Source organism: Homo sapiens, chromosome 17, assembly GCF_000001405.40.
Source record: "Homo sapiens chromosome 17, GRCh38.p14 Primary Assembly".
Lineage (NCBI taxonomy): Eukaryota > Metazoa > Chordata > Mammalia > Primates > Hominidae > Homo > Homo sapiens.
In genome coordinates, this window is record NC_000017.11 from 76883342 (window position 1) to 76895360 (window position 12019).

General features: G+C 54.0%; 1 protein-coding gene across 7 annotated transcripts in view, besides 1 other annotated feature; it reads left to right on the forward strand.

Moving 5' to 3' along the window:
* The window catches only part of MGAT5B (alpha-1,6-mannosylglycoprotein 6-beta-N-acetylglucosaminyltransferase B), an 81990-nt gene that overhangs the window by 14938 nt on the left and 55033 nt on the right, over positions 1 to 12019 (forward strand). The gene's annotated exons all lie outside the window — the stretch shown is intronic.
* Positions 1643 to 2517: an enhancer, noted in NCBI's record as "H3K4me1 hESC enhancer chr17:74881066-74881940 (GRCh37/hg19 assembly coordinates)". NCBI's record gives its function as "activates a minimal SCP1, AML or CMV promoter by ChIP-STARR-seq in naive H9 embryonic stem cells {active_cell/tissue: H9 hESC(naive)}" and the evidence as "EXISTENCE:reporter gene assay evidence [ECO:0000049][PMID:30033119]".

The window sequence follows — 12019 nt, forward strand, 5'->3', positions numbered from 1 at the left end:
GGCATGTGTGGATACTATGTACCCCTGGCCATTTTTGCCAAGTAGAACTTTCTGGTTTATTTCTTCTAAATATTCTCCTGCTTCGGCCAGGATGTCTGAGAGCCCAGAGTCTGTGCTGCTATCCTACAAGCCCCAGGGACACATGAGGTGTGACATCCAAATCATGTGTCCTAGGTATATAAGGCATCTCCTGGACCTCAGAGAACAGGAGTGCGGGAGGTCAGGCTGTCCCAACTGGCCCCTAGAGGTGGATGTGGAAGGAGGGGCTTTGACCCCACCCTATTCCAGGGAGACGAGCTCCACTTTCCCTCTTTTATATATTGGGGTTCTTTGTGAAATTGATTTGCTAAATGTATTCTAGCTGCTAAAAATTAAGCTTGAAACGCACTTTTAGACAATTTGCAGAAAAGCTATTTCTCAGCCAGCGTGTGTGATGGAAAAGCCAAAGCTCTAGGCATTTCTAAAGTACGGAGTTGGGTGAAACAGAAGAAAATGATGACCCACAGGAGGTCACTGTGCCCGTGGGAGGGTTGGAGGGATGCCTGCCTGAGTCAGGCCTGAAACACAGTGCGCCCATGTGGACTGGTGTGGGATCCGTTGCCATGTAGCCTGCTGGTGCTGGGCTGCTGGCCATGGGGCCAACCTCTAACTGGCCTTGCCGATTGAGTGAACGTCCTGGATGCCTGGTAGGCCAGCCTGGTGTGAGCATCATTACCCTCATATTAGCTGACATTTACTCAAAACACACTAAGCACCTGGCATGGTTCTTACTGCATAAGCTTAAGATAGGTAAGATAAGATAGATCTTACCTACCTCACAACCATCTTATGGTTTAATCTTTAAAGATTTAATTAAATCTTTACTCTCCCAGAGGAGGAAGCTTTAATCTCCCAGAGGAAGAAACTGAGGCACAGAGAAGTTCAGAAACTCACCCAAAGTTGCACAGCTGTAAGAGGCTGGACTTGGCTTTGGGTTCAGGCTAACTGGCTCCACAGCCCACATTTCTAAGCACTGTGCTCTTGATGATTGATTCAATATGTGGTTATATGTGGTTTGGTTTTTGTCCCTTTCTAAGAGGTTTTATTTATTTATTTATTTATTTTTTTGAGATGGAGGCTTGCTCTGTTGCCCAGGCTGGAGACCAGCAGTGGCACGGTCTCGGGTCACTGCAACCTCCGCCTCCTGGGTTCGAGCAATTCTTCTGCCTCAGCCTCCTGAGTAGCTGGGATTACAGGTGTGTGTGCCACCATGCCCAGCTAATTTTTTTTTTTTTTTTTTTGAGACAAAGTCTCGCACTGTTGCCCAGGCTGGAGTGCAGTGGCATGATCTCGGCTCACTGCAAGCTCTGCCTCCCGGGTTCAAGCGATTCTCCTGCCTCAGTCTCCTGAGTAGCTGGGATTACAGGCACATGCCACCACACCCAGCTAATTTTTGTATCTTTAGTAGAGACGGGGTTTCACCATGTTGGCCAGGATGGTCTTGATCTCTTGACCTCGTGATCCACCTGCCTCGGCTTCCCAAAGTGCTGGGATTATAGGTGTGAGCCACTGCGCCCGGCCTAAGTTTTGTATTTTTAGTAGAGACTGGGTTTTGCCCTGTTGCCTAGGTTGGTCTCGAACTCCTGACCTCAGGTGATCCGCCCATCTCGGCCTCCCAAAGTGCTGGGATTATAGGTGTGAGCCACTGTGCCTGGGCTACTGGATTTATTTTTTAAAAAGATCATTCTGACTGCTGTGTGAAAACTGGATAAACAGGGTGGCAGGAGGGGAAGCAGTGAGGCCGTGGTGGAGATGGGGAGTGCCTGCAAAGGGATCTGAGCTTCCTTGGAAATCCCCCTGAGGCATGAGGCCGTTTTCCTCTCTGTGTGCATGGATCCTTCTTCTCTGACACTGTCTGTGTGCCCTCGGATCCAGCCCCTGCCCCCCAGCTCCATCTTTCTCCCTCAGATCCAGTCCTTTGCCCCTCTTTCATTCTTTTCTGCTTTCCTGTCTGCCTCCAGCGGTGCCTCTGATGCAGCCTCTGTCCGCAGGCCTGTTCCCCAGGTCAGGAGCAGGCCTTTTTGGTCTCTGTTGAGGATATTGCTGCAGGCAGCAGAGCTGAAGGTCCAGTGGACCCCTGGACTCCAGGTCTGCCTTCTTGGGCTGGGGGTGGTACTGCTGGCGCATCCAGTGTTTCTCTGATTTTTTTCCGGTCCTGGCCTGTGCCTCCCTCCCCTGCCCTGCCCTTTGTCTCCTCCTGGGGAAGGAGGGAACTTGTAGGGGGAGGGGGAATATGCGCCACCTCCCAGCTCCCTCCTGGGAAATAGCAACCATCCATCACGACCGGCAGAGCCCATCACACCCACAGGCAGAGCCATCAATTTCAGGGACACTGTGGTTGCTGGTTTCAGGGAGAGAAATGGTGGGTGTGTCCCGGGCCTGTGAAAGCCGCCTGCTCACACGCTCCCGTGCACAAACACTGCTGCCCCCTCCGCACCCTGAACCTGACTCCAGGTTAACCAACCTGCAGCTAGACCGGCAAGAATCCTGCAGGAGTGCCTGCTGCTGCATTTCCAGAAAACTCTCAGGTGCCTGCACTTGGATTCCCCACTTAGAAATTTCCTGTGGCTTAAAAAAAACACGTCCCCTGTTCTTCCTCAGCCCTTTTGGAAGCTTCTGGGCTGCCGCCTTCCACTCATGGCTGGTGTTTCCTCAGGGAAAGTAAATTTGCAATTTTAGCCTAGGAAAACATAATTAGAGAGGCAGATTTGCTTCAAATGGCATCGTATTATGTATCCTCAAGCCAAATAGTAATGATCTTTGAATTTTCCATAAGGCCATAAAACCACCGAAATTTGAGGCTGTCTGGATTGAAGAGGTCAGTCCGTATTTGTTGAATGCCTAGTGTGTGCAGAGTCTGGGCTGGAGGTTTGAGAGCAGGTGGAGGGGACACAAAAAAGATGGAATTCCACTGCATGCCCGGTGCCCAGCCTGGCCAGTGGCCCCTCAGAGTGGGGCAGACCTGGGCGGCCTTGGGCTCTGCGAGCCTCAGGTTCTTCACGTGTGTGTTAGAGATGATGCTGATGGGAGGCCTGGGCCCTGTGCTTGGCGCTCAGAAGAATAGTTTGTCTCCTTTCCTTTCCTTGTACCGTGAGGGTCCAGAGAAGGGGGTGACCCAACCACTCTTTGGGAGGCTTAGAATCACCAAGTCCCCATGGCACAGGGGAGTTTGGGATAGCCTTGAAGGAGAGACATTTTGACTGGGGAGACAGCCAGCACTCTGGACAGCGGGAAGGAGCAGATGGCTGAGGTGGCTGAGCCCGAGGGAGGTGGACCAGGGAGGAGGGGCCACCTGGGAGCACTGTGGCCGGAGGACCTGGTGAGTGAGGGGCAGTGGTGGGCTTGAACCCTGAACTTTGATGGCTCTAAAGACCACCTTCAGGCTGGGTGTGGTGGCTCACAGCTGTAATCCCAGCACTTTGAGAGGCCGAGGTGGTCGGATCACTTGAGGTCAGGAGTTCGAGACCAGCCTGGCCAACATGATGAAACCCCGTCTCTACTAAAAGTACAAAAATTAGCCAGGCGTGGTGGCACATGCCTGTAGTCTCAGCTACTTGGGAGGCTAAGGCAGGAGAATCGCTTGAAGCTGAGAGGCGGAGGCTGCACTGAGCTGAGATCGCACCATTGCACTCCAGCCTGGGTGACAGAGTGAGAGTCTGTCTCACAAAACAAAAACAAAAAAACACCGTTGTCCTCTAGACTCCCCAGTTTATGTCTTAAGCTGGCGCTGTAGCCCTGGATGCTGCTGCTCTCAGAATAGGCACCTGCTGACCCACCTGGGTGTCCTGGGAACACTCAGACGTGGGGTCTCCTGGTTGCACTCAGGATCCCCTTCTCTCCCAGCCCCCATCTCAGGCTGTATCAGTGCCATTATTGCCATGGCTCGGACCCCAACCTTGCAGTCACCCCTGGCTCTTCTCTCTCATACACTTGCCCCATCCCTCAGCAAATTCTCCCACCTTCAGAATACGCCTTAGAAGCCCACCTCTTCTCACCCCACTGACTGACCCCAACCAGCTATTCCAACTCAGCAGCCGCTAGGGTCTTTCTTTCCCTCCCTCCCTCCCTTCCTTCCTCCCTCCCTCCCTCCCTTCCTCCCTCCCTCCCTCCCTCCCTTCCTCTCTCCCTCCCTCCCTCCCTCCCTCCCTCCCTTCCTTCCTTCCTTTCTTTTTTCTTTTCTTTTTTTTTTTTTTAACAGAATCTTGCTCTGTCACCCAGGCTGGAGTGCAGTGGTATGATCTAGACTCACTGCACCCTCCGCCTCCAGGGTTCAAGCAATTCTCCCGCCTCAGCCTCCCAAGTACCTGGGATTACAGGCGTGCACCACCATGCCCGGCTAATTTTTTTTGTATTTTTAGTAGAGATGGGGTTTCGCCATATTGCCCAGGCTGGTCTCGAACTCCTGACCTCATGTGATCTGCCCGCCTTGGCCTCCCAAAGTGCTGGGATTGCAGGTGTTAGCCACCGTGTCTGGCCCAGTGGGGTCTTTCTAAGTCATCAATAAGTGTCCAGGTCCCTCCTCTACTCCCCGCTCCCTCATGGCCCCCCAGCTCACTCGAGTAAGAGCCCAGGTCCTTCCATTGGCCCCACCATGCCTGGCCCCATGTCCCTCTGGCTCCTCCTGCTGGTTCTGCCACTGTCCCTGGAGCACAGTGATCTCAGAATTTGCTTCCCCGGGCAGGTGGTAATGACACCACACACAGCCCAACCCCAGCTCTGCTCCTTTTAACAGGGGGAGTGCATGTGTGCACGGGTGTATTTATGTATTTATTTTTTTGTTTGGAAGAGAGGAGTCCTCTCTGCTCTCACTTGGGGAGGGGGCCTCCCCAGCATCAGGGTGGGGAGCTCTGGATGGGCCAAGGAGGAGCTGAAGCAGAAGAGAGCAGTGCGAATGCAAGCCAGGCTGGATGCTGGGGTGGGGGCTCCATGTCCCGTGTGGTGTGTGTGAAAGAGACAGAGGCGGACGCAGAGACATGGCGACAGAGAGGATCCGTCTCCCCTGCTCCGGCGCTCATGTTTCCAGCCGTGTGCACTCAGGTCTCCCGGTATGCGTGTCTGTAGGCACCTGTGTACGTGAGTCTCTGTGTTTTAAAAGAAAAGTGATCAGTTTCATAACAAAATAACAGCCCCAGCAAGCACCCTAGCCAGCGGCGGGGAGATCAATATCCCCGTTAATTGAATGCAACTCTCGTAAATCAGGAGAGGGAGTCAGAATTAAATCTCTTTCCTGAGGTGGCCTGGAGAGCTCGTTCTCAGGGGAAGCAGACTGGACCAGAATCAGTGATTACCTCGTGGGGCAGGGAGGAAGGGGCTGAGCCTCAGGGGCCTCTTTGAGGGACCAGCCTGAAGGGAGTTGAGGATTGGGGCCTGCGAGGAAGTAGTGACCTGCCACTGGCCACCTGCGGAACCAGAGTTCCCCACTGGAGGGCCGCGTTGGTGGTATAGTGGTGAGCATAGCTGCCTTCCAGAGTTCCCCGCTGGCCCCGGCCCATCACCCTAGGCCTCAGGTGGTGGAGGGAACAGAGCATCTGGGTCCGGCCTGTGGCCTGCAGTGTTGGCTACTCTTTGGTCCCTTGGGACAGTGCCCGGAGGCTGGCTGCACGAGGGTCGGCCTTGGGAAGAGGGGTGGGCGGTGATCAGAGGCCTCGCTTGGCATTCTTTTACTTTCCGAGTGAGAAACGATGGTTTTGGTAGAATGCCTGGGGCTTAGTATATGTGCAGAAAATATACTCAGGCCCAGGTCTCCCATGCCAGGTACACCGAGCTGTTTTGCAGATGCAGTGAGAAGATGCAGGGCTGGCGCAGGGGCAGTGTCAGCCCTGGGAGCTCGCCGTGTGACCTTGGGAAAGCCACTATATCTGCCAGACATCCTGGGACCTTGGGACCCAGGCAGGCTCTTGAGGTCACAGTGCCCATGGGAGGTGACTGAGCCCACGGGAGGTCACTGTGATGGGTTTGGGCCCACCAAGGGGTGGCTCCAGCAGGCAGGGAGGGAAGAGCTCTCAGGGAACACACCTGATAACCTGGGAAGTCACTGTCCCCTCTCCCCATCCCTGCCCAGAGCTGTCTGCAAAGCCCTCTGGTCTCAGAAGCTGTCTCGGGCCACCGTGGGTACCTTCACTGGGAGAGAGGCGTGTGGTTGGCAGGTCAGGGGCCTCTTTCAGCCAGTGCCACCCCAGGGCAGCCGTCGGCCCCCAGGGGCATGTTCTGGATTCCAACAGACTTTGCTGCAGAGCTGGCTGAAGTAATAATTATTAATCATCATAATAATTAATGATGATAATAATCAATGACAATAGCAAATAATAATAACAGCCACCCTCTATTGGGCACCAAGCTCACTAGAGCTTGGTGAGGAGGATCCCATCCAGGTCTGATCCAGGCCTGCACTGTTGTCACAGCCCCACGGTGCCGAGAGCCGGACCAACCACATGACAGCCACGTTTATTGGGGATGGGGTGTGAAAAAGTCCCAAGTTCCCAGTGCAGTCCCTGCCGGGCTGGGAGGGAGGTGGGACCCTTCAGGCTGCAAGTATGTCCTGTTGGCCCTGAGGGCTTCCTGATCATGACGAATGTCCCCAGCTTTTCTGTTGAAGGCAGGGCGGGACCAGAGACCTTCACTCCCCTACTGTTGGCCATGCCGTGGGTGGTCTCCTGGCCTGGCTTGGGAATAACCTGTCACTACAGGATCATGTGCCATGGCCTGGGCCAGACTCACTGCCACCAAGAACCCAGGCCCCACAGAGTCCTGGGTCTGAAGAGGGACAGTGAGTGGTGGATCTCAGGGTCACCCCCTCAGAAGGGGCTGCAGTCCTGTCCTCGGTCCCTCTGAGCCATTGAAACCTCGGGTGGAGCAATTTCGGGGTCGGGAGACTCACTGCTTTCTGATGTGGTCCATTCTGCTGTTGGGCAGGTCTAACTGGGACTTCATCCAGAAGGGGGTGAGACCTCACTTTGACTGAATGTCCATTACGAGTAGTGATAATAATAAAATCATTAAAACTAGGTATGTGTGCTAGGTACATCTAAGTATAGGTATACCTGTAACTACCTATAGGTCTCTTAGGAGTTCAGGCTGCAATAGCAAAGTTCCATAGCCTCGGGGGCTCATAGACAACAGACATTTCTTTCTTTCTTTTTTTGAGACAGGGTCTCCCTCTGTTGCCCAGACTGGAGTGCAGTGGCACAATCACAGCTCCCTGCAGCCTCTGCCTCTCAGGCTCAAACAGTCCTCCTGCCCTAGCCTCCTGAGTAGCTCAGCCTGCAGGTGCATGCCACCATCCCTGGCTAATTTTTATATTTTTGTAGAGATAGGGTTTCACTATGTTGCCCAGGCTGGTCTTGAACTCCTGAGCTCAAGCAATTGGGCCACCTCAGCCTCCCAGAGTACTTGGATTACAGGTGTGAGTCACCGTGCCCGGCCTCAAGCATTCATTTCTCACAGTTTTGGAGGCTGGAGGTCTGAGACCAGGGTGCCAGCATGGTCAGCTTTGGGGGAGGATCCTCTTTTGGGTTATAGATGATCAGCTTCTTGCTGTGTCTTCACACAGTGGGAAGAGGCTGAGAGAGCTCTCTGGGGGCCTTTTTTTTTTTTTTTTTTTTGGAGACTGATTCTCCCACCGTCACCCAGGCTGGAGTGCAGTGGCACAATCTCGGCTCACTGCAACCTCTGCCTCTCAGGTTCAAGCAATTCTCCTGCCTCAGCCTCCTGAGTAGCTGGGATTACAGGTGCACACCACCACACCCAGCTAATTTTTGTATTTTTGGTAGAGATGGGGTTTCACCATGTTGGACAGGCTGGTCTCAAACTCCTGACCTCAGATGATCCACCTGCCTTGGCCTCTCAAACTGCTGGGATTACAGGTGTGCACCACTGTGCCCAGTCAGGGGCCTCTTATAAGGGCACTAATGCCATTCATGAGGGCTCCACCCTCATGACCTAATCCCCCTTCAAAGGCCTCACCTCCTAATACCATCACATTGAGGGTTAGGATTTCTTTCTTTCTTTTTTGTTTCTGGAGACGGGGTCTCCCTCTGTCAACCAGTCTGGAGTGTAGTGGTACAATCTCGGCTCACTACAACCTCCGCCTTCTGGGTTCAAGCGATTCTCCTGCCTGAGCCTCCTGAGTAGCTGGGACTACAGGCATCTGCCACCACACCCAGCTAATATTTTGTATTTTAGTAGAGTCAGGGTTTCACCATGTTGCCCAGGGTGGTCTCAAACTCCTGAGCTCAGGCGATCTGCCCGCCTCGGCCTCCCAGAGTGGTGGGATTACAGGCGTGAGCCACTGCGCCCGGCCCTGGGGGTTAGGATCGCAATATACAAATTTTGTGGGGACACAGACATGGTTCATAGCAGCAGGCAAGACAAGTGCCTTCTATTGCTTACTCCTTCACGCAGCCCTCCAAGGGTTGCCTCCTTTGACAGACAAGGGAGCTGAGGCTCAGAGAGGCTTGTGGGTCTAGGACATGCAGCACGGGGCCAGCCTGGTGGCTTGGTGGCTCCAAAGTTCTCGGTGCTTCGAACACAGGGTTGTTCCTCTTCCAAGCCCTCCGTGACCCTAACAGGCCTTGAGGAGGGCAGGGGGCTTCCTGGAGTGTGTCCCCTGACCCCACTGAATAAGAAAAAGCCAGCACAGTGAGGCTGGTATGGTATCAGGGCCAGGAGGTAGGAAGTCTCTTTTTGAGACAGGGTCTCACTCTGTTGCCCAACCTGGAGTGCAGTGGCTCGATCACGGCTCACTGAAGATCTCAACCTTCTGGGCTCAAGCAATCCTCCCACCTCAGCCTCCAGAGTAGCTGGGACCACAGGCATGTGCCACCACACCTGGCTAATTTCTGTATTTTTAGGGGAGATGGGGTTTCACCATGTTGGCCAGGCTGGTCTCGAACACCTGACCTCAGGTGATCCGCCCGCCCCGGCCTCCCAAAGTGTTGGGATTACGGGCGTGAGCCACCACGCTCGGCCAGGTAGGAAGTCTTTAGAAGGAAGCTCCAGGACTGTGCTGGGCCAGTGACCTCTGCCCCGCAATGAAGCCCCAAGTGCCAGGCAAGAAGGAAACTGGCAGAGCCTGTGTGGAGAGGAGAAGGCGACCTCAGGCTGGTCCTGGGGCTCCAGATGCAGGGCACTGGCACAGAACATTTGGGATCCCCAAGGCCACCCTGAGGTCCAGTGATTTGCTAGGAGGACTCAGAACTCAGCACAGCCATGATCCTCACAGTGACAGCTTATTCCTGTGAAAGGATATGGATGAAAATCAGCCAAGGGGAGCGGCGCACGGGCGGGGCAGAGCCCTGGAGACCCGCATGGAGCACTGGTGTTCCTCTCCCAGTGAAGCTGTGACAGCGCCTGCTCTCCCAGCAACGATATGGGACAACACACATGCGTGTTGCCAGCCTTGGTGCCCAGTGATGTTATGGGGGCTCAGTCTCAGAGACATGACTGACCACTCAGGGGCTGACCTCAGTCTCTGGCCCTTCCAGAGATCAAGCTGAGGTGGCATGTCCCACCGTCAATCACAGGGAAGCACAGACTCCTGGGGGTGGCCCAAGGCCCCAGGTAGAAAAGGACACTCTTATCAGGGGACACTCCAAGGGCTGAGGGGTGAGCTCCCGGGAGCAGGTCCAGGGCAGGCCTTTCTTTCTAATGTGTGGGTGTGGACATCCCGGAGCTGCCCAGCTCACCTGTTACTGCACGCACAGTACGGGCTCTTGGTACCTGTGTGTTCTTCCCTGTGGCCCTTGAGTGGCTCAGTGATACCCTTTGATGTACCCCAGGGTCAGCCCACACAGACACACCCCAGGTTGCTCTCTCCTCTGCCCCCTCTCCCTGATAACCCCCCTCAGGGTGTCCTTGAGGCTGGGCCTGCGTTTGGTTCATCTGCGTTTGGTTCCTCTGTGCCCAGAGCCCAGCACCGAGCAGGCACATGGTAAATACGTGTGTATGCACGTGGATGATGGGGCCTCCTCTGGGGACAACCCTCCTGAGCCCTCCAGCCTCCCCTCTCCCTGACTCTCATGGGCCAGATCTTCACTGTTCATGTTCACGCTGCTCTGCCAGAAGCAGCCGGTTCAAGCTCACCTGGGTTCACAGCCTTCCTCTCTTAAAATGCATGTAACAAAGACATAAAAGAAAAGAAAGGAAAATGTACTATAAGCAGGACCAAAGGGCTCAGGGGCATCTGCACCAGCTGGAGAAAGACTGGGTGCACTTGGTGGTGGGAGTGAGGCCCAGGGGATTGTCCCCTGTCCCCCGTGCCGGGGTAGATTGAATTCAAGGTTTGTACCCTGGTAATGGATTCTTCAGGGTTAGGGTGGTTGTTGCCTGGGAAACTCCTTCTGCCAGAGCAGTTTCGGCCTTGCCTCCTGCGGGGAGTGTTGGCTGTTATCCCAGTGGAAATAGCCCTGAAAGTCCCATCCCCCAGGATGTCACTTTCTAGACTGGGGGCGGGGGGTGCCAGCCTTTTGCTCGGTCTTGGCCTTGGTCCTGATGTCCTGCCCCCACCCTGTGCATGGACCCCTTCCAGGTGAAATGGTGCATTCCTGCCTGTCTCAGAGCCCACCTGTTGGCACCACCTTCCCGGGGTGTAAGAGGTGGAAAATGGATTTTCTTCCAGCAACCCAGCGTGTCTCAGGGCAGCTTTTTCTGATTGATTGAAGCCAGTGTTCCACTTGTGGCTCCAGCCTGCTTCCTTTGCTGAGGACCAAGGCCTGGAGGCCCCTCGTAAGCTTGTGGGCACTGCACTTGTGTCCAGGCATTCATTAGGGCCACCCGGCTCCCTGTTCCCCCGCCAGGAACATCCTCTCCAGCTGTCCGTCTCCAGCCATGTTGCCTGTTCAGCAGCCTTCTGGGCTGGGCGGGGTGAACTTTGGGGCTAGGCTGCCTGGTTGGACTGATCTCTCATTTAATAACTGTGTGATCCTGAGCAAGTCACTCAGCCTTGCTGTGCCTTTGTTTCCTTCCTGATCTGTCCAATGGGAGCATTAAGAGGGACCAGGATGTTGCCATGGACATTAAATGAGATCAGAGTATAGAAAGAGCTTGGCAAGCGAGTGCTCAATGCCTGTTGGCTGTGTAACTGTCATTATCGTTAGTGGCATGGTTTTCTCGTGTCCTCCTAAAAGTCTAGGAAAAGTCCTGCCTCCCTGGGTGGCTTTATGATGTCAGGTACCTTCCTCCATAGAAAAGATTTTAGGCTGTGCGCAGTGGCTCATGCCTGTAATCCCAGCACTTTGGGAGGCCGAGGCAGGTGGATCACAAGATCAGGAGTTCAAGACCAGGCTGGCCAAGATGGTGAAACTTCCATCTCTACTAAAAATACAAAAATTAGCTGGGCGTTGTGGTGCACCTGTAAATCCCAGCTACTCAGGAGGCTGAGGCAAAGAATTCATTGAACCCAGGAGGTGGAGATTACAGTGAGCTGAGATTGCACCAGTGCACTCCAGCCTGGGTGACGGAGTGAGACTCTGTCTCAAAAAAAAAAAAGAAAAAAAGAAAAAAAAAGGCAAAAAAAAAGAACAGATTTTAAATGGCATTGATTTCCTAGGGCAGCACAAACTGATTGTGTTAAACCAGCTGTCCCCAACCCCCTGGCATGGACCGGTACCGCTCCATGGTCTGTTAGGAACCTGGCTGCACAGCAGGAAGTGGGCGGCAGGCAAGCAAGTGAGGCTTCGTCCGTATTTACGGCTGCTCCTCATCGCTCGCGTTACCACTTGAGCTCCGCCTCCTGTCAGATCAGCAGCAGCATTAGATTCTTATAGGCGTGAAAACCCTATTGTGAACTGCACATGTGAGGGATCAAGGTTGCCTTCTTCTGATGAAAATCTAATGCCTGATGATCTGTCACTGTCTCCCATCACCCCCAAATGGGACCATCTAGTTGCAGGAAAATGAGTTGCAGGGCTCCCACTGATTCTACGTGGTGGTGAGTTGTATAATTATTTCATAATAATGAAATAAAATGTACAGTCAATGTAAT